Genomic DNA, 21968 nt, shown 5'->3' with positions numbered 1-21968 from the left:
TTTCAAAAATAAATAGCAAATTGATTTTTTTTTTCTGCAGGACAGGCAGGCTCGGAGATCCGCTTCGCTCCGTTCCCACCCCATGTATATTAAATAGCCGGCGAGCGGCGGTCGCCCGGCGCGGTGACCTAGCAAGCGCCCGAAGTCCCCGGCCTCTGCGCGGGCCCGCGCACCGCCGCCGCCGCCGGCAATTGCAGAGGGGCCTCTCCCAGCCAGATTGGTTTCTCTATCCAGGGATAATTACCGCAAGCTCACTTGCCTAGCGTCCTTTATATTTTCAAAAAGTTCAGGGGAAGAGTACGTATGTATTGGAGGGGGAGTGATAGTCATTCTAGATTTAAAAATATTTATATGAAAAGTAACAGTATTCGCGGAGACACCTAATATCATCATCGACCTCATCGGAGGAGCAGGTCCAGGTTCCACTGGCCCAAGGCTGCATCTGCCAGCTCCCGCCTGCCCGCAGTTTTCTGCCTTATTTAGCCCTTTGCCCTAGGTTCTCAGGCCTCCATGTGTCACTTTGCTTCTATTTGTGTTTTCATTTGGGTTGACTGTGTGTATGTATGTGTGTGTGTTACACTTCTCAGAATCCACCAAAGACCTTGAGTAAGAGCTGTTGACTGCATCTTCCCTCTCTCTGAAATCTGTTAGCACCCCCCGGCCCAACCCGCCTCATTCTCCTGCCTATACACATTCACAGGGGCAGGCGCTCCTATGCACGCCCACATTCACCCACACTCCCACACATCGTTCATTGCAACTTCCCCACTTGCAGAAGCCAGATGAGGACTTGGTGCCGAGTTGGGCACCTTAAGGCCACACCGATCTCTAAGTCAACTTCTTGGTTATCAACCTAGACTTTTGTCTTAACATGGTTTCAGGGATGCCACATGATCCCATCACCAACACCACCCAAAAGGAGGCCAGGGATAGCAAATCTAACCAATTAATTATGTGTGTCGTATCTAAAGGGCGTGCCTTATTGATGACACCTAATGAAGCAAATAATGGATTTGCAGTATCTCGCTATTCATCTGGTCCTTCCAGAATACCAAGTATTAAGGAGAGATGGATATGATGGATGGAGAGAGAGACAGAGAGGAGAGGGGGAGGGGGAGAAGGGGTCGGCTACAGATCCTTGGAAACAGACCAGATTTGTTGAGTGTCGGCTTGAAGAAAGCAGTCTGAGCTATGATTTAAACACCGGAGGCATCATTGTTAACTAGTGTCCGACGACTGTCCCCCGCCCCCACTGTGCCTTCCTCCCGCTCCTTTCTTTTCTCCCTTTTGTAGGATACAGAAGGTGAATAATGAAACCATTTTGCTAATAGTTTATGAGCCATGAGATTGGAAATGTATATGGATAGACCGTAGCACCAGGCTAAAATCATTTGAAAGAAGCGTGAGGCTTGGCAGAGACAGAAAGAAACCCTCGGTGTCCTGTCTCCCCAGCCCGAAGCGGAAAGGGACGAATGAGGTGGCCTCGTGCCTCTCCCTCTCCTCTCCATCCGAGGACAGCGGCTTGGCCGGTCCTCCTGCCAGCGCCTCGCCCTCCTCGTCTCCCCAAGGGGCTAGAGCCAGAGGGAGATGAATTGGGGCGATGGCGAGATAGCGCGAGCGGGAGATAATCGTTATCACCAGGGTTTTTCTTCCAGTGATGGATCTGAAAAGATCTATCACGCGGGGTAGCTCTCCCGGAGGCATAAAACAATAGACGTGAACCTCGCGCTGCAGACAGCCACAGAGACGCTGTTCGTGCGTCTGTCATTTCTGCCCCCATAGGGCCTGTTCCCCTAGTTACGAACACCCAGAACCTTGAGAAATGCCGCGAGTACCCACCCACCCACCCACCCGACCTCCACATTCGGCCCTCTAGGAGGTTTTCCCAAAGGCTTTCTTTGCGGAGTTGCTGCAGTTTCAAAGCCTGGACTCTGGAGGAGGGATGCGGGGGCACCTAAGGGGACTGGAGGTGGAATAGGGTGCAAGGTGAGGCGCTGGCCTAGACCCACAAAGGGGCCGCAAAGCCTGGGGAAATCCTAGGAGCTGACTCGGAACGGTGGCCCAAGCCAATGGCCCGCGAGAGACCGCCCCGCATTTGGCCAGGCGTCCCAGAGAGCGGAGGCGCGCGGGGGAGGGCGAGGGCGGGCTCCTCTGGAGGCGGCGGGCTCCAGGCCGGGCTCCCTAAACGGGTCAGCAATTGGAGCGGGAAGGCCGGACAGGTAGGTGGCGTGGGGCGCACAAGCCCGGCAGCGATAACCGGGGACGTCTGTACTGCTTCCAACCCCGTCTTTGAGAACTCTTAAGCAAGCGCGCTCGGGACCGGGACCGACAGGCGGTACCGCAGCCTCCCAGGCCCTTGGGGCAGCCTGGAAAGGGCAGTCCGTCAGCTCTCGAGCCCCAGGCGCGGTCTTCGCGGGGGCTGGAAAGGGAGACGCGCGCAAACGCCTGCGTGGAGCCATGGGCGGTGGGCACACCCCGCAGGGGGAGCTACTGCCTGAGCCCCCTTAGTATTTCTGCATTTTTCCACTCTTTCCAAACTGGATTCTGGGACAGAGTAACTTTTGCGTTTAAGAGGAGGTAACTAGTGGGAAGCGGTCTTAGGAGGAGGTAACTGGTGGGCAGCGGTGTTAGGAAAGGCGCGATTGGGTCAGCAACGCCACTACATAAACTGCATGGGGGACCCTGTTTGGTTTTTGCCCTTTGGGGTACTAGTAGAGGTTAGGCGTTTGACCTCTTGTGTAGTGTACTGGCTGCTGGCATTGGGCAGAGGTGGGGCACTGGAAAGAAAAAGCACCACTGTCCTCCGGCTCCCTCCCCCCCAGCTACTAGTCGCTTTAGGCCCACGGGACGGGCTTGACTCCCATTTCGCAGGCCTGACACTGAGGCAGAGAACGTCCAAAGAGGAGCAGAGCAACGTCCCTGCATCTGCGGACTCTCCTCTCCCGGTACCTGGCGTCAGCTGCAATATCTCCAATTTCCTCAATCCCCACACCCATCCGTGCTGATCGTCCTATTGACCCTGGTTTCTGTGCGACATTCAGGATAAATTTAGCGTAGCAACCTCAGGAACTGGGAAGTTTGGTGTATGGAGCGAGTGTCTGTTATATTCGGGGGGCTTTATTTTTAAGGAAGCACCTAGAATGAAAATGAAAATCCTACTGAGCCAATCACCACCCACAATCCGGCCTGGCCAAAAGGAAAGGGGAAGGGCGGGCAGTAAGTTGTGTTCAGGAATCTCAGTCAAGTAGATCCCATCCGTTGGGTCTGCAGATGTGAGCGGGTGCAGCAAAAGGGCGTCCAGGGACAGGGGTGAGGGCGTGCGGGGTGATTAGTAAGCAAGACCCCATGGCAAAACCCCACGGAGCTATCTCGCAGCTCAGGCTTACGCTAGAGCTGGCGCCCCCAAGCAAGCGATGACGTGACCCGGGTGCCCGCGTTTGCCCTCCCGGTAGGCCAGAGCCTAGGGTTGAAGTAAAGTTGCTGAGTGGGTTATTGTCGCTTCTGGGAAAGGAAATCTGCACTGCAGGAACTCCTTTGTGCCTTCCGCACTCACCTTTCGCACTTCCATCTAAAATTCTGGGTTACCTAAATTCCTGTCCCAGTACCTCAGGAAAACGCCAACTCCTGGCGTTGCTTTCCCTTTCCCTCCCACTCACTCCGGTACTCCCAGAGAGAAACCCGGCTCCGGATCGCCCTCCGCCCCCTGTCTTCAACAGCCACCCTCCCTGGGAGCTCCGCTCTTTGCCCTTCCCATCCAGTGCCAGTTGTTGGGTGGGGGAGAAGGGTAGCAAAGGTAGGTGGGTAGAGAAGGTCAGATAAATGGCGAGATTCTTACCCCCTTCCGCAAAAATTAACACCACTACTGTAAATTCTAATAAAATTAAATTTCATCTCTCTCTCCCAATCTATCCCCTCACAACTACTGCAAAGGGGGCGGGGGTGGGAGTAAGGTCGTCCCCAGAAAAGGGGGGATCTTGAGCAAAATGCACGCCTGCTCCTCTTATTTGTTAGTTGCTTCGGTCAAAAAGTTTGCTATTTATAGGCTACACGCGGCAGCCCGAATCCCCGCGCCCGCTTCCGAGTGCAAAGTGAGAGCGATCCCGGAGGCGCCCAGCGGCCCGACTCCGTCGTGTCCCGTGATTTGTTTTGTTTTATTTCTGCTCTCACGCGGCAAGCAGCCAGGGAGAAGACCGTGGGGAGCCCCGAAACACCCTCTGGTAGTGGCAAAGAAAACAGTTCTGCAGTCGGTGAATGTGGGTCCGCGCCTGACCCCGCTTCGCGCGCGCGGGCGAAAAGGCTGGGAGGAGGTGCAGCCGCCCTGCCGCCGCCGCCGCCAACACCGCCGCCGCCGCCGCCGCGCGCGCGCCCCTTGCTCAGTCCTTGGCCTCCGCCTCTGCCCCTTCAACCTCCAGCTCCACACGCTTTCTCTTGTCCCTCCTCCCCCTTTGATTTCTCCCTTCTCATTCTCTATTTCGCTGTATCTCTTACCCTCCCCTCACCTCTTTGGCCCTACCCTCAACTTCCAGCTGAGTTTGCATCTGGGCGCAAAATGAGTCAAGACTGGCCTTTACGTGGGAGGCGGGGTGGGCGTGTGTGTTTCATAAAGAATAAAACTGTACGGGGCTGGGCGGAGCAGGGGGTGAGGAGGGGGAAAAGCGCGTGCCCGAGCTGGCCCTAGAGGGCTGCCCCGCGCGCTGGGGGAGGGGACGAGGTGCGTCCAGATGGAGACCTTTCCTTTCGCAGTAGCTCTGACCTGGGAATGAGGACGCAGTGCCCAGGAAGCCTGGCCATTTGGCACCATCCCTCTGCGGTGCGGGGACAGATCTCTCTTAATCAAAATCTCAGAACCGCCCTGGGCGGAAAGCGGGGAAAGGAGAGGAAGGAGAGGCTGGGACTAGCCGGAAATAGAGTCAGGGTCAGGTCCCTGAATTCCAGGTAAACTGGGCGCTGCGGCACCTTTTTCCAGCGGCTGCGGCCAGGACTCGCTTGCTGTGAGAGCAAAGGTGCAAGCGGATCGCGGCGGTCGGTCCACAGGCCTTGACCTTGTCCTCTTTTTCTAAATGCCAGAGCCGCAGACTATGCGGTTTTAGAAATCAAACGTCAAGGGGACGGGACCACAGCAGGCTGGCGAGGTTCCTCGAGCCTCAGCCCGGAGCAAGAGAAACGTAGCCGCGCCAAACACGCGGGGAAGAGCTGTGCGCTCGGAGCCGCAGCCAGGCGCTCTTTCTCTCAGGCGCGCAGCGGCTGGCTGGAAACTCGCGCACGGCGGGTCAAAGTGCCCTTTCCCGCCTGAGCTGAGGTACACTTTTGGGGGTACGGGGTGTGGAGAAAGTTGTGACTGAAAATAACCTCGGGTCTTGGATCCATGAGGCCGAAAATGAGAGGCCAGAGCGGGGGTAGGGAGGAATTAAGAACAAGTAAGTGGAGACCGCTGGCTTCGCTTCTCTGGCGCGCAGGGCCCTGTGCCCTCACTGCGCGCATCGAGATCAACTTCTTAGGCACCACCAGTTTCTCCTTCCTCTGTAGATGTCGCAGTTAGAGTCCCCTTTTGGCCACATTCCCCCAAAAGTGCCCAGGCGGTCTTTGCGGATAGATTAGCAGGGAGAGAAGATCCAGCGCCAGTCTGTGTCGGTGCCATTTGGAGGAGACCTACTCCCCAGGGTGTGTGCGCCCGAAGTTCCCCGTCACAAACCATGGGGGCTGGAGCGCGGTCTGTTCCCAGCTCGCATCCCCAGTTCCCTCCCGAGCTCACATTGCAGCAGCAGTCTGGTTCAGACAGGACCCGGGGCGCCCGCATCTGGCCCGGAGCTGCCCAGATTCTCAACCTGGCCCTCCCAAAACCGCTTTCCAAAACTCAACTGCAAAGTTAAAAGCAGAAACAAGTTTCTGCCACTAACTCTGGGCCACATTCGGGGATATGGGTAGATGCGAAACTTAGTACATCTTCATAGGCAGAAACCGGTGGCTCTGACCTCTAAATGTTGGAATTCAGGTGCTGGAGGTGCGATGTCTCAGTATCTCTCAGCCCCATTCCCCAACTGTAAATGCGCTCAGCTCTTTGGTTGAGGGTTTATCTTAGCTGTTGATCTTTGCCCTAGGCCCTAATGGGAAGGGAAGGAAAGGAGAGAACAGGTCAAAGTAAGAAAGGCAGAAGTACTGAGGAAAAGAGAGAAGGAAAAGACTCAAAGTAAAAGCACAGTTAGAAAGAAAGAAAGAAAGAAAGAAAGAAAGAAAGAAAGAGAGAGAGAGAGAGAAAGAAAGAAAGAAAGAAAGAAAGAAAAAAGGAAAACACCATTGCTAGCTGTCTTTCTTTCCACCTTGTTCAGTTTGAAAAGCCCAGGACTTTCAAGAGTGAAGGAGTTAGTTAGCCAAGGACCCTCAGACACATTTAGATACCCCATCCCCAAAATGTTTCTATGACACGCGTCGCTCAAGTATTGGCCAAAGTTGGAGAAGGCCCGAGCGTGGGCTCCCAGTACCTCCGGCAATTTTACTTTAGCATAAACTCTGGGTCCTGAAGATGGGGCGCTAGGCGCCAGGCTCCTGGGTAGCGGTGGGAGCATAGTGTTTGTAGTCTAAATCATTCATTCCGCTTTCAAGAATTTTGTGAAGCATTAGGGCTTTTCCCGCCTTTGACGGGATCTTAAAATTCGGGAGCTTCCGTCGCTTAGGAAAGTGACTTGCTCTGGCTGTGAGACTCACTCGCTCAGCTCTCTATGCGGCAATGCTGGCCATAGCTTTCTAGTTCGCTCTCCCAACAGCAGGCTTCTTTCTGGCCTGTCCTTCCCGCGCTAGGCCTCTGTGGCCTGACCTCTAGAGCCCTGGGTCTTTCCTCACAGTCTGGGGCTCTAGATAGGAAGGACCCCAAGTTCTCTTTCTCCTTGCGAGTAAAGATGACATTTCCACCATGTAGACAAAACTAGACAAGAAACTTTCGGGGTATGGAAGGGAGGTGGTGACAGAGAACGGAGAGGCCCATTTGTTTCCAAATCAGTTAGTGAAGAAAGAAGAAATTTCATTTCCTCCAAATTAGCTCGTTTTCAAGCAACTCTGGAAAATGGCAGAAAGAGGAATTGTCCTCTTAGAAATACTTCAGATCTGTGACCTGTAACCCCCAAAACGAGGCAAGGACGGGGTAACCATGCACCTGTAACCCCCAAGAAGAAGCAACAAGAGAGTGTCCATGCACGTGGAATTGGACAGAAGTGGGTACCTGTGCCCATCTGCATACAGGCCCTGCTTTTCTTAGACGACCGACCTTAGATCATGGTTATAAGTGGCAGCCACCATTTTACCAATAATCAGAGCATAATCTCTTGACAGTTCCTAAATTGTGTTTTTCGTGGTGCCACTGGCTGCTAAGTTGCCAGGGATGCGATAATCAGCTTGAACCATCCCAGACCAAGATAACTTTATGAGCCTTGAAATTCCCCACCTTTCTCAATCCCACTTGCAATTCCTCAGCCACCGTCCTTCCTTCTCTACCAGCATGGCTGTGTCATCTGGGTACTAAAATGGCCTGAGAACCAATCCCAGTTGTTCCTCTCCCTTTTCCCAGCTAGACCTTTGACTAGAATACGGAATTAATTGGCCTAGCTCAAGGTGTCACACACCTGTAATCCCAGCACTTTGGGAGGCCAAGGCAGGAGGATCACTGGACTCTGGGAGTTTGAGACCAGCCTGAGCAACACAGTGAGACCTCCCTCTCTACAAAATTAAAAAAATAAAATTACTGAGCATGGACAGATGAAGGCAATGGCTAAGCTTTTCCTAAAAGTTGGAACAATTCCTTTCCTCCCTCCTTTTCCACTCTGATCCCCAACATCATCTTTCTTGGGTCAGCAACTCCAGAGCTCCAGCAATGGGGTCTTCCTAATCTTGTGCCCTCCCTTATTGGGATTTCTTTTTCTAAGAGGTCAGTGTCTAGAGGAACTGAGTATAGTCTCCTTCCAGGATTTTATTTGATCATCAAATTTACACATTTCAAGGCAAAGAGCTGAGGCCTGAAACCCAGATGTCAGGAGGGAAGGAATTAGGGAGAACCCAGAGAACTAAGTGACTCTTTGACAAGGAATTTCAATTAACTTGATACTTTTCTATTAGGTCTCACCAATTTGAACTCAAATTTTTCCCCTTAAGTGAAGAAATAGAATTCTCCGATTATGTATTAGCCATATGTTCAGGGCTGTATTCTGGCTGAGCATTTTTAGAAGTTGACCACTGAATACGTATACAACCTCCAAAGTCTTCTGCGCCCTCCAATATCTCACTTCATTTTGACATAAAATAAAAGCATTTACTTTCATCCAGTTCTTGGTCACCTTCAACAGGTTGGTTTCAGTTGCTGTATTTCTCAAATTTCCTTACAATAACAGCACATGAACCAGATATGTTTGGATTCTGTGGGACAGGATTACTCCCTCTTCAATTCTCCAGGTAGTTCTAGCTAAAACTGCCTTTGCTTTCACCTGAGTTAGATACATGCTTGAGATCAAAGTGAAGATATTTTTTTAACTTGAATTATTCAAATACTTGCTCACTGTTTTTTTTTTTCTTTGCTATTTGGAATAAACCTGGTCATTAATAAATATGGTCATATTAACCTTTAAATAGACATGTCATAAAAGATAAACATGCCTTTTTATGTAGAAATTTTCTTTGAGGTGTTTAAAAATCATAGCTTGGGTATTTAACATAGCTTCAGGAAATTGGACCTTTGCAATTAATGGACAACTGAACTTATTTTCAGAACTTTTCATTTAACTTTAGCATACTTCTTCAGAATTATGTTCTCTAATCCAACTGAATCTGCCTTTAATTGCTTTAACAAGTATGTGTTTAAATGAGATTGTTTTCAACATATCCACCTGTACAACCTGTTTGACGGGAGTTTACAATTCAGAAAAATTAAATTCGTGGCAATATAGTATATTCTACTGATCCATTTATTTAAGCTATATTTTATTGCTAACGTCTTAATAGTTAAAAAAAAGACAATAAAAGGCATTTCTTCGTGGGAGAAAATGTATGTGTTCTTTTTCAGGAAGGCTTGATGAATACTTAGTTTGTCTCCTATGTTCTTTATTTTTTCTGTCAGATACATCATTGCTTCTGATTCATTGATCCCATATAAGTTAAAAGAAGATTCAAGTTACTGATTTCTGAAAAATTATATCCCCCTTTTACCAAAATAATTAATATTCAATTATTTTTAATCAAACATTTTAATGTAATTTAGAAGAGAGAAAACTCCTACACATATTCATTAATTGATGATTACCAAATTAGCTAAACTATTGACAGTGAACATTTGGAAGTGGAGATGTAACATCAGGAAGGGTGACATTTCGGGACCAGTGCAGTGGCTCACACCTGCAGTCCCAGCTCTTTGGGAGGCCCAGGAGAGAGAATTGCTTGAAGCTAGGAGTTCAAGACCAGCCTGAGCAACATAGCAAGATCCCTTGTCTAAAAAAAGAAAAAGAAAAATTAGCCAGGCATGGTGGTGCATGCCTGTAGTCCGAGCTACTCAGGAGGCTGAGGCAGGAAGATAGCTTGAGCTCCAGAGTTCAAGGCTGCAGTGAGCTAGGATCCCACTGCTGCACTCCAGCCTGCACAACATAGTGAGACCCCCTCTCTCTATAAATAGGTAAATAAGTAAAGTTGCAGTTTCTGCTATCAATGTGACAAACCAAAAATGATATTCAAGATCAAAGGGCAAATGATAAGTGGCACAATGAAATAAAGGGAATAAGGACAACTTGTCAGCTGCTATCTTCTAGATGTAGTATTCCACTCCTTAAAATCATTTGGGTGATATATTGTGTGAAATTATTTTGTATAGGAAGAAGAAGCTTTTTGCTTCTTCTGCTGGGGGTTCAAGTTAATATTTACTTTTTAATGAGGTAAACTTCACGTAACATCACATTTATCATTATAACTATTTTAAGCAATATAATTCAGTGGCTTTTTTTTTTAACATTCACCATGATGTGCAACCTTCGTCGCCATCTGAATCCAGAACATTTTTATCACTCCAAAGGGAAGCCTCATCCTGTAAACAGTCACTCCTCATTCTTCCCTCCCCTTCAGCCACTGTCAAGCCTTAATCTGCTTTCTGTCTCTATGGGTTTGCCTATTCTGGACATTTTATAGTTGGAATCATTTAACATTTGGCCTTTTGTATCTGGCTTCTTTCTCTTATTATCTTCATATAACTTCATTTGTTATGAAGGTTCATCCATATTGTAACATGAGTCAGTTCTTCATCCCTCTTTATCGCTGAATAGTATTCAATATTATGGATATATCACCTTTTGTTTACACATTCATCAGCTGATAGGCATTTGGGTTGCTTCCACTTTTTGGTTATTATGAATAATGCTGCTGTGAACACCTGTGTACAAAGTTTTGTTTAAACATATGTTTTCTGCTCTCTTGGGTCCAACTTTGTTTAGGAACCAACCATACTTCTTTCCACAGCAGCTACATAATTTTACATTCCCATTAAAAATGTATGTGGGATTTAATTTCTCCATTCCTCATCAACATTTATTTTCCTTTTATTTCTGATAGCCATACTAGTGGGTGTAAGTGGTAATTCACTGTTGTTTCGATTTGTATTTTCCTAGTAACTAATGATGCCAAGTATATTTTCATGTGCTTATTGACCATTTGTATATTCTCTTTGGAGAAATGTCTATTCAGAGTCTTGACGATTTTTAAATTGGGACTTTTGTCTCTTTGTTGTTGAGTTGTAAGAGTTCTTTATATATTCCGAATATTAAATCCTAAGATATAGGATTTGCAAATATTTGTATTTTCTCTTATTCTGTGGGTTTTTTTAACACTTTGTTGATAGTGCTCTGTTATTCATAGAAGTTTTTAATTTTGATGAATTCCCAGTAGTATGTTTTTGAGACTGGGGTCTCATTATGTTGCCCAGGCTGGTCTCCAACTTCTGGGCTTAAGTGATCCTCCTACCTCCGCCTGAGGAGATAGCAGTAGTTATTTTTAACAATAAAGACATTACACATCCATGAAAAGACTCAGATTAAACATAACACAAAACAAAAATTTAAAACCCAAGTAAAGAGAAGACACTTCTTTAATGCCCAATCAACTTTACCAAATGCAGATTATCAGGGAGTATGTAAAGTTATTGCTGTTCAAGAAAAGGAAACAGGTGGGGCTACACTGACCTTTTTCTTCGAAGAAGTCCTGAGTTATTCAGATAAGGTGTCTAGCCTATGAATGAGATCTTTTATCTCAGGATGACAGTAGTTATTTTTTTTTAAATTATCATTATCAAATTCATCTACCAAGAAATTTCAAATAGTCTCCTCTGTTTAAATAACATTAAGGAGCTGCCTTAAACCAACAATAACCAGGAAAATCAAAAGGTTGACAGGGTGTTTCTAATTTAGCAGTTTCTAACACATAGGCCACAGTAGTCAGATGACATGCTTGTAAAGTTACTGAGAGAAAGTTCTTGGAGTCAGAGAGCAGAGAAACTAAATCATTGCAAAACATTTTTAAGACAAAACTTAATAAAAGAGTAAGGATATCAATGGACATTATTAAATGTAAAGGCTTTGCTTATTGTTTTAAATTGGTTGCTTTTAGGTAATTAATTTATTGATTGAAAACAACGAATGCAGTGGTTTGGATGAGATCTTCATTTTATTTTAATTAGTTAGTTATTGAGTAAGAAGACTTATGGTGGACACTGGTTTGGAGACCTCCGATTTTGTCCACTAGTGGTCTTGGATCAAATTTCTGCATTTGTCATTTTATGGAGTGTGCTAATGGGCAAACCCCTGGATACTGCCTAAGTACCTGTGCACAGTGCTCTTGCGTGGCCAGCGAGCACATGTGTGGCTGTCACCTGAAAACATCTGAGGGATCCCAAGGGAAATTCTCTTTCCTTATCTGCAGAATAACACCTTTATCTGATAATTATTGTGGGGACAAAAAGGAATAACATATGTGAAAATGTTTTCTACATATGAGACATATTTATTTAAAAAAATGGAAGCTTTAGTGTGTTTCCTTTTTAACGTAGCTCTTACATTCTACCAGATATTCTCCCAAGATTTTAAAAATATTTTAAAATTAACTGAAACAGTTCCACAAAGTAGGTACTATTATTTTCCCCCATTTTACAAGTTAGAAAACTGAGGCAGGGAGTTTTTCTATAACTTGCCCGAGGTCATACAGCTGATGAGTGGCAGAGCTGGGTTTTTAAGTCAGGCAGTCTGATTCAAGAGTCCATGTTCTCAGTTACTTACCACATTATGTTGCTTAGAATAAAATAATCCAGGGATTTCAGATGAAAATCTGAATCTCTGTATTGAATCAACAAATACTTATCGAGTACCTATTATGCATTAGACTTCTCTTGAAACACTGGAAGGTCTAGCAATGCTGTGGCTGCTCTCCTGCATTCTCTTATGGCAACCATCAGCTGGAGGTGAGTTTTCAAGGCCATCTTTTGATGGGGTCACCAAACTTGGCATGATTTATTCACCTGTTTACCTGCATAAGTCCTGTCATTAATCACGTTTGTTACTGCTAACATAAGACACAGGCATGAAAAATAGCTTATAACCAAAACATATAAGCAAAAGGCAATAATAAACATAGAAAATGAACATTGTGGCACAAGTTTAGCTTTGCAAAGTTCTCTTGCTGTTAGCATTAATCACAGAGCAATGAGACTTCGAACAAGCAGTTACAATTAAGTGTTTAAAATCAGAAGAGTAAGAAACACCAACACAAAAAGCAAATGGATATAAATCAATATACCGTGAGTATAGTTGACACCCCGTAATTGGAAATCTCTAATAATTAATCTTTTAGGCAGAGATTTTTCAGTTATAGAATTTATTTCCTTATTTTATGCACAAAAGGTAAATAATAAGTAATATCACATCTATTTCAAAAGGCAGGCTTCAGAATATGCCACAAATTTGGGAAACAATCAATCCAATGTCTAATGCTTTCAAAGTATTCATGCAATGCAGTTGGGCAGTGTTCATAGCAATTAGCCTGAGTACTGTGGGCTCCAGAAAGGTCTCTTGAATGGAGAGATAATTGGATATGCAGAGTACCATATTATCATTACATGTATTCCAATGCACTCTAATTTTTTAACAATTGTTAATTATTATTGATGAGGATACTCGATTAGCAGGAACCTTCCCTTTGTAGGTGTGTCTATACCAAGCCAAGTTAATTCCTGCTGTTTGCCTACTTAAGATTAAAGAGTCTGCTTTTTGAAGATCTGGTACCAAGCAGAAGAAATATTTTAATATTCTATGTGTTGTGACCAATGTCATATAGCTTGACCCTCACCATGATTTGGCCAACAATATTTCCATAAACATGGGCCAAGTGTACTATGGGATTTGCCAGGCTTATGGCATGGGTGTATACAGCACAGTTGGTTCAGGCATTTTATCTATGTCTAAATAACCAGCAGAAAACCTTTCTGCACTGTACCACTTGGCGTGATATAATTTGTTTAATATTATAGAATGTTGAAATAACTGCAAATTTATTGATTTATTGAACAACATGTGTTAAGTATCTGTTAGGCTTCAAGGCAGGGTTTTATAGATACTTTTTTCCTACATGGTGCTACGGGGTGGGTGGGTAGGTAGCTAGGTAGGTAGCTAGGTAGGTAGGTAAAGAAACATATTTTGAATCCCACAGAGAGGAAAGTGAGGCTTAGAGATTACTGCCCATGACCGCACAACTAGTCTGGATGCAGAGCTGAGACTCAAAGCTAGGCCTCTGATAACAAGTTCAGGCCTCCTCTACCACAATATCTCTTGATCAGCTTTTCTGAGAGTGCATTCCATCCAAAACCCTATGACAGAGTGACCTGGGTTATTTGTGTAAAATGTAGAGCCCTGGGCCCTGCTCTAGAAATACTGAATCCCTGGGCCTCAGAAATTTCAATAATACCCACAAGAGGTTCTCATACACAGCAAATTCAAGCATCAGGGATCTAGACACCAAACATCTTGAAATATTTAGTTAGATTTATTTGATACTAAGAAAAGATAGTTTGAGAGGAAAGAAGAAGTTGTCTGACCACATATGATAATAATAAATACCAACATATTTTTAATGTTGCCTTACATGTTGGGATTTAAATAGATTCAAAGTGATCTTCCAGTTCAGTGAGGTTGTTCTTACTTGAGGTGTTCCATAGATATGCCATGTTTTTATCATATAGTTTTACAAAGCTGGTTCTTTGGGACCCTACTTCCATACAATATTCATTAATTTGTCAAATATTTATTAAAGTATCAAATACTATGTTAAGCACTTGAGGAAAAGAAATGACCAAAATGGCATGGTTCCTGACCTCATGGAACCAACTCACAATCTATGGAGGGAAGATGTCAACAAGTGTTTTGTCTGAAGATTTTTCTTGTAGACAAATACATTTGTGAAACAATGGATTCAACAGATTTCTTCACTATAGGATGTTTCAGAGTCTAGTATGTACTATTATGTACTGCAAATATCTGAGAGAGGACTATGGTATGTAATGTTTTCCAGATTTATCACAGCATCCTTCGTACAGACAACAACTGCTAGGTCTAGTGCTGTACAGGATACTCCAGTGAAATCCTGTGACCCCTGGAAGGCCCAGTACACTTGTGGTACTGGTATGGATATAGAGTATATTATAAAAATGGAGTCCCACTGCCCTCCCTCCCCAGTGTAGTATTGTTCTGATAACCTAGCAAGCACTGGGATCTAGGATAGGGAATGGGCAGACTTGATACAGATCAGCCCTGAGCTGTCTTCAGAGGCCCTGGAGTGAGAATTTAGAAATGGAGTGGATCCCTGGATATGTCTCTGGTCTCTTCAGCTGGGTGATGGTTAAGACAGAAGGGTTGTTTTAGCATCCTTCAGGAATTCTGAGGCCATTTTAGACCATTTGGTGTGAGAAGGGCAGCATGAGAAGGGATCATATACCATCTCTTTACACAGAAGCTGTGTATTATTTGAGGGATACTCAACCTTTGGCTAGGGGCATAGAATGAGTTTCTTTGCTGAAACATACCTCCTTTCTATGTATTGCCTACTTTTATGAGGACCATTGGTGGATAAAGGAAAATACAGGCATTTTCAGTGAGCTACCTAAGCCCGATTACCTTGGTTTTTTTCTTTCTTTTTCTTTTCCTCAGGCAGTGGCTATATCTAAGTAGAACAAAGTGACCTGGCAAGTGTTCAGATAACTCAAGAGTGGTGTATTCATCTGATGGATGGATTTAAATAGTTTGGTTGTTGACATTTATCAAATTACCCAGAAAACTGCCACATCACCACCTTGATTCATGCACGTGGAGAGTTCTTAAGGAAGCCTCTTCAGAACTGTTTGTTTTTCTTAGGGATCATAATATTTAAAGATATGTTGCTTTATTGTTCGTTAAGTACATGCTTTATTCATGAGCAGGTCTTGCCACACATGCTTCCTCATGGATTTACAAGGTAAAATCAAGAAATATAGTACTATCCCAGTAATTTAGGTAGTCATCACCTGAGTAAATACTTGAGACAAACTGCTTTTTTCCTCCTTTCCAGAGTTGTGGAATAAATGTTTATTTCTTCATTCATTGCTAGGAGACCTCAAATCTCTAAGTGTTGGTGTCTTCCGTTCAAAGTCTAGATTCAGTTTACTCTTTTAATCACTTTGAACAAAGAGGAGTTAAATGCAATTGCTGCCTTCAGGGAGCTTACATCTTAGGCTCAGAGGTAGTCAGGGAAGGTGAGTGCACATATTGTTATATCAAACCAACATCTGGAAAGTGCTAAATGTAAAGGTTATATGTGGTGTGATAGTGGCTCAAAGGTGTTTCATCTGCTCATGAAGAATTAGAGAAAGCTTATTCCAGGAGATTGCTTTGAGACTAGTCTTTTAAAATGGGTATTTTTAAAAATTATTACTTTACTTTTTTAAGCTCTGGGGTACATGTGCGAGATGTGCAGGTTTGTTACGTAGGTGAGCGTGTGCCATAGTGGTTAGTTGCACCTATCAACCCATCATCCAGATATTAAGCCCAGCATGCATTAGCTCTTTTCCCTAATGCTCTTGCTGCCCCCCTACTCTCCCCTAACAGGCTCCAGTGTGTGTTTTTCCCCTCCCTGTGTCCATGTGTTATCATTGTTCAGCTCCCACTTATAAGTGAGAACATGTGGTGTTTGTTTTTCTTTTCCTGCATTAGTTTGCTGAGGATAATGGCTTCCAGCTTCATCCATGCCCCTGCGAAGGACATGATCTCATTCTTTTTTATGGTTGTATAGCATTCCATGGTGTATATGTACCATATTTTCTTTAACCAGTCTATCATTGATCAGCATTTGGGTTGGTTCCATGTCTTTGTTATTGTGAATAGTGCTGCAATGAACATACATGTGCATGTAAAGAGGTGGAACTGGTGGAGCAGAAAAAGGAAGAATTGTGCTTAAAATTTTGTATACAAAGGCAAGAATGTAATTAATACACTGAAATGGGAAAATTGAAGGCCTATTTGGGACATAATACAAGTGTGTAAAGGATGGAGGAGGGAGGAGAATGACAAGGCAGAAGATGAGTGCTAACATTATGTAGGACCCCTTAGGCATGATATACTGTTAGGTATATCATCTATTCCTTTTCATTTCCACGAGAAACAGAGCAGAATATTATTGAAGCCACTGCTTCACTAAAGATTCATGCACCATTTCCATTGGTTAGCATTTCTGCTGGGAAGTGACTGCTAGGCGGATAACATTTCCTAGGCTGTTTTGCATCAAGTTGGGATCAAATAGTTGCTCTCAACAACGAAATATATATGTCACTTCTGGGCTAAAGTGGTTAAGAAGTGTGTGTGCTGGCTGGGCGCGGTGGCTCACGCCTATAATCTCAGCACTTTGGGAGGCCGAGGCAGGCGGATAACCTGAGGTCTGAGGTCGGGAGTTCGAGACCAGCCTGACCAACATGGAGAAACCCCGTCTGTACTAAAAATAAAAAAAAAGAAAAAAGAAAATTAGCTGGTCATGGCAGCCCATGCTTGTAATCCCAGCTACTCGGGAGGCTGAGGTGGGAGAATCACTTGAACTCAGGAGGCGGAGGTTGCAGTGAGCTGAGATCGAGCCATTGTACTCCAGCCTGGGCAACAAAAGTGAAACTCTGTCTCAAAAAAAAAAAAAAAAAAAAAAAGTGTGTGTGTCTTTCCCGCCATGGACTAGGGAAGGAAAGTCGTTGTAAATGAAGGAATTTAAGATCCTAGGGGAGGAAGAACCACCGGATGAAGAAGCCTGGGTCCTCCTGTATATACACCTGGGCTTCATCTGAGTAAGAAATCTTCAATGTATTAAGCTACTGAGATGTGATGATTGATATTTTGTAGCAGTTAGATACCTTAATACAGGTATCATTACAGGCCTATAGAATATAGGCTTTTAGAGGTAACTTAGTCAAAATCACATAACTAATAGGAGGTGGGGCCAGGATGCAAATCCAGGTATGTCTTCAGATTGCTTTTCTTTTTCTGGTCTATTCCCATGGTTTAAACTACTACTGTCTACATGCTAATTTATATTAGTGCTCCCTTGTCAGCCTAGGCCTCTGGAGAACCAGACCAGTGTTGGCAGTTGTCTCTTGGATATCTCTACTTGAAAGTCTATATTATTTAGCATATAAAAGAAGATCCCTTAAAAATGGAACTCCAATATATAATGGATTAAATAAGCAGTTTCTTTCTCACAGAATAAGTGGTCCAAAAAGAGGAATGATTGATCTGGCCCATCTGCTTTATCTCCATATTGCTTCCCTGCCTTCCTCTAAGGTGTTGTGTCATTTGCATAGTTAACCTAACTCGTGGTTATCTGAACAGAAATTCAGGACAAGCAATTTCCTTTTAAGCAAATGGCACAGAGGTTGCCTTCTTCTGCTCCTATTACACCATCAAGAACTTAGTCATATGGCCACATCTAGCTGCAAGGGAGGCTTTATAATGTGGTCACTAGTAGGTGGTTATGTTCTTGGCTGAAACATTATTAGATGAAATAGGAGGAAAAATCATTTCAGAAGATAGTTTTCTTTCTGGCACAAGAATCTGGCTCTCCGATGTTAAATCCCAGTGGATTTAAAACCATACTCAGCCATCTTCCCAGGTTAACTTCTCAACTTGCATTCCTGACTTGGTTAATGGCCACACCACCCTCCCAGATGTCCAGAGAACAGGGTGGTGTGCTTTGACTTTTTCTTTTTCCTTCCTTTCTATCTCCAGTCATTTTCATCTCCTAAATGTCTATTGAAACTGCCCGCTTCACTTAATCCTCTGTTTTTATCTCAGTTCATGCCTCATCATCTCTCACGTAGACTTGTAGGATGGCCACCTAACTGGTCACCCTGTCTCCAGTATCAACCTATCAAGGACATCCTTCACACTACCAGGAGAGTGATTTTTCTAAAATGCAAATCTGATCATCATTTTACTCCCTTTTTACAACCCTTCAGTGATTTCCCATGGCAAAAGTCCAAATTGCTTTGCAGAGCACAAAAGTTCCTCTGTGGTTTAGTCCCGGAATCTCTCCAGCCTCATTTCTGACACTTTACTATTCCCCTCCCCAAAATGGATCACACCTACAGCTTTGGTTATACTGAGCGATTTCAGAATGTTGCATTTCTTTTTGTATCTGCTCATGTGTTCCTTCTGCCTGATAAATGAGTGTGTGTGTGTGTGTGTGTGTGTGTGTGTGTATTCTTCAAGACCCGACACAGCTGACACCTCTGCTGTAACATTATCCCTCCCTTCCCCCAGGCAAAGTCCATCACTCTTTCCTTGCTCTGTTTCATTTATTCCACAAATGTAATGGATTGTTTGTGTGTCTGTAGGCACTGTGCCATGCCTTGGACACAATGAACAGAAGTAGATATGGTCCTTGCCCATGTGGAGCTTATAGTCTAATGGCAGAGACAGACATCAGTCAAAGATTCCCACAGACAAATGTGAAATTGCAACTGTGATAAATACTATGAAGATGAAAAAAATGGTACAATTTTGAGTCCATTATAGGAGGCCTACTAAGGGAGACTTCACCAAGTTGGTACGTATGAGCGAAAATGTAAAAGATGAATTAACCACATGAGAAAGATGAATTGTAGGCAGAGGGAACAGTGGTTCAAAAATCATATATTAAGAGGGAATTTGGGATGTATGAAAGGGTTGAATAAAAACCTAGTTCAATGGGGCTGTGGATGGCAGAGTGAGGTACAGGATAAGGCAGGAGAGGTAGGGGCTAGACGCTGAAGAACGTCATAAGTCATGTTAAGGAGATTTCTCTTTGTTCTAAGGGGAATGAGATGCCATTTTAAATGAGATAGAGAAGACATGATCAGATTTTTTTTTTTTTTTGGAAGAGTTCATTTTGGCTACTGTGTGAAGAATGAATTTGAGTATTAGCTGATTGGATGATACTAGACTTGTTAGTTCAGGGAAGAGATTCTGATATATTGAATTAATGTTGTGATAGTGGAGATTAAATAAAGTATTTCTAGGATTAGGTATGAAATAAAATATTTCTAGGATTAGGTATGAAATGAAATAAAATAAAATATTTCTAGGATGAGGGAGAGGGAGGTGTCAAGAATGGTTCCAGTATTCCTGGATGTATGGCAAAGGTGGTCATGGAGGCATGGAACCTGGAAGAAAATTAGTTTGGAGAGAGTTTAAATGTGGGGTGCCTTGGAGAAATCTAAGAGGAGGCATCTCACTGTACATTAATCATATTTCTATTACTTCATATACTTTGTGATCACTTTTGTATATGTTTCTTTTTATTAGACTGTGAGCTCCTCAAAGGAATGGAGCAACATCTACTTATTATTACTGTTAATCTTTTCCATTTTTGTATCCCAAGTACTTATTACACTAACTTGTACACAATATTTGCCCAGCAATGTTTGTGAATAAATTATCTAACTGGCCCCAAGGCCCACCCAATTTCTGCCACACCAGTAATAGGAAGGAAAACAAACTGGAAAGGCAAGTTGGGGCTCAATTGTAGAGTGTTTTAAATCCCTGGCTAAGAAGTTACATTATGACACAAAATGTAATTAAACCTTAAGTTTACATTTACTTTCCAATCCAACCTTTGTTTCAAATAATGCCTCTGTTATTTTTAAAATCATATAATGTTTACTCAAAGGATGTTCTCTCCTAAGTAAATCAAAGCCAACTGAGCTACAAGAAAAATACAGAGATCATGCTAGAAAAACAAACTATGCCCTTATGCTGCAGGACAAAATGAAATTAGAATGAATTCACAGGAAAAGGGATTGTGGATACAAAAGAAATGTAATCAGGACTATTTATTTTTTAGCTCTTTTTCTTTTCATTTGTATAGGATGTTAGGATTCAGTCGTTAGGGCAGATGTAGAGAGGGATTCAGATTTACATGGTCCATTGTTGGATTATTTTCACATCATGTACCTGAAGGGATTAATGTTGAAGAGCTACCACTGTTTCTTGGAGTCAGAATGGCAGAACAATATTTTAAATCTATTAGATTTAGTCATAACGACACAAACAGCCTCTATCTGTGGTGAAACAAAGCTAATTCAATAAATGGTCTGTGAAGTGTTAGGGATGTGGACACCTTAAAATTGACTTGTGCAAGACCTTCTTTGTGCACAGTAATGAATGGTGCTATTTTAATTGCATTAACCCAAATTGGCATAAGAATTCTTTTTATTCTACTCCTGAAATTGGATACATCATTCTTTATTGTTTTCTTGAAATATATCTATCTGTATCTGTATCTGTGTCTCTATCTATCTATCTATCTATCTATCTATCTATCTATCTATCTATCCATCTAGTTTCTAGAGATAGGGTCTCACTCTGTCACCCAGGCTGGAGTGCAGTGGCATGATCATGGCTCACTTCAGTCTCTAATGCTGGGCTCAAGTGATCCTCTAGCCTCAGCCTCTGGAGTAGCTGGGGCTACAGGAATAAGCCACCATGCTTGGCTACTTTTTTATTTTTTTTTCTAGAGATGGGGTCTCATTATGTTGCCCAGGCTGGTCTTAAGCTCCTGGCCTCAAGTGATCCTCCGGCCTTGGCCTCTCACAGTGCTGAGATTACAGGCGAGAGCTACCACATCCAGCCTGAAATCTACATTTTAAAGGCTCCATACCTATCTTAACCCCACATTAACTGTGCAGATAACTGAGGCCAAAAAATGTATTTTTCCCCTTTGTATGCATTCTTTTTGCATGTGTGATTTATTTTCTTCCTTGGTAAGATTGTATAATCCCTTTCTAATGTGAGCAGAGGGAACAGTGGCTTACTTGAATGAACCCACAGTTTCTTCTTGTCGATCTTGATGAGAATCAGAATTGAGCATCATGTGACTGATGGCCCAATCATATTGATTTTAATGACTGGCTGTGGCAAGCAGGACTAGATAGAGCTACAGACTTTGAGGCCAGACCTACACAGTGCAAAGTATAGATGTGACAGTTATTCAGTAACTGCAGGCCACAAAGACAGCCAAGCTGAATGTAGGTCTTGGATCTGCTAGTGTTTGCATTAAGATGTTTAGTAGAGTGGTTAAGAGCCCAGGATTCAGAATCAGACTGTTTGGGTTAATTTCTTTCCTTAGCTATTTACTAGTGGTATAGCCCTGGGCAAATTATGTTACTCATGGTTTCTGAGTTTCCCCACATGGATGAAGGGGTGAGTAGTATACTTATTGCATAGGGTTGTTGAGAGAATTTTAAGTGTTATTATCAGTAAAATGCTTAGAACAGGCTCTGGCTCATAGTAAGTACTAAATAATTTCTAGCTATTATTATTAGATTAGGAAGATGATTCAGATATGGACTTTATGGTGACAAAGATGAATTTTTGAAAGCAAGGTCAGTGCAACTTTTGGTGAAATGTAAAGAATTTTGAACT

The 21968-nt window shown here is 43.6% G+C and overlaps 1 protein-coding gene across 5 annotated transcripts in view, besides 5 other annotated features; it reads left to right on the top strand.

The window, feature by feature from the left end:
- Nucleotides 1045–1755: an enhancer, noted in NCBI's record as "H3K4me1 hESC enhancer chr1:217311473-217312183 (GRCh37/hg19 assembly coordinates)". NCBI's record gives its function as "activates a minimal SCP1, AML or CMV promoter by ChIP-STARR-seq in primed H9 embryonic stem cells {active_cell/tissue: H9 hESC(primed)}" and the evidence as "EXISTENCE:reporter gene assay evidence [ECO:0000049][PMID:30033119]".
- Nucleotides 2184–21968, top strand: part of ESRRG (estrogen related receptor gamma) — a 634457-nt gene continuing 614672 nt past the window's right edge. For all 5 annotated transcript variants that reach the window (XM_017000625.2, NM_001243511.3, NM_001243510.3 and 2 more), the window contains exon 1: nucleotides 2184–2219. The gene's annotated coding sequence lies outside the window, so the exon portion shown is untranslated. The remainder of the gene's footprint in view (nucleotides 2220–21968) is intronic.
- Nucleotides 2467–3177: an enhancer, noted in NCBI's record as "H3K4me1 hESC enhancer chr1:217310051-217310761 (GRCh37/hg19 assembly coordinates)". NCBI's record gives its function as "activates a minimal SCP1, AML or CMV promoter by ChIP-STARR-seq in primed H9 embryonic stem cells {active_cell/tissue: H9 hESC(primed)}" and the evidence as "EXISTENCE:reporter gene assay evidence [ECO:0000049][PMID:30033119]".
- Nucleotides 3178–3889: an enhancer, noted in NCBI's record as "H3K4me1 hESC enhancer chr1:217309339-217310050 (GRCh37/hg19 assembly coordinates)". NCBI's record gives its function as "activates a minimal SCP1, AML or CMV promoter by ChIP-STARR-seq in naive H9 embryonic stem cells {active_cell/tissue: H9 hESC(naive)}" and the evidence as "EXISTENCE:reporter gene assay evidence [ECO:0000049][PMID:30033119]".
- Nucleotides 4985–5279: a silencer, noted in NCBI's record as "tiled region #11696; HepG2 Repressive DNase matched - State 21:Repr". NCBI's record gives its function as "represses a minimal TATA promoter and a strong SV40 promoter by Sharpr-MPRA in HepG2 cells {active_cell/tissue: HepG2}" and the evidence as "EXISTENCE:reporter gene assay evidence [ECO:0000049][PMID:27701403]".
- Nucleotides 5438–6204: an enhancer, noted in NCBI's record as "H3K4me1 hESC enhancer chr1:217307024-217307790 (GRCh37/hg19 assembly coordinates)". NCBI's record gives its function as "activates a minimal SCP1, AML or CMV promoter by ChIP-STARR-seq in primed H9 embryonic stem cells {active_cell/tissue: H9 hESC(primed)}" and the evidence as "EXISTENCE:reporter gene assay evidence [ECO:0000049][PMID:30033119]".

The sequence above is a fragment of the Homo sapiens genome, chromosome 1 (assembly GCF_000001405.40).
Source record: "Homo sapiens chromosome 1, GRCh38.p14 Primary Assembly".
Taxonomy (NCBI): Eukaryota; Metazoa; Chordata; class Mammalia; order Primates; family Hominidae; genus Homo; species Homo sapiens.
The sequence above is the reverse complement of the archived record's forward strand: the minus strand, read 5'-3'. Positions and strand labels throughout refer to the sequence as shown.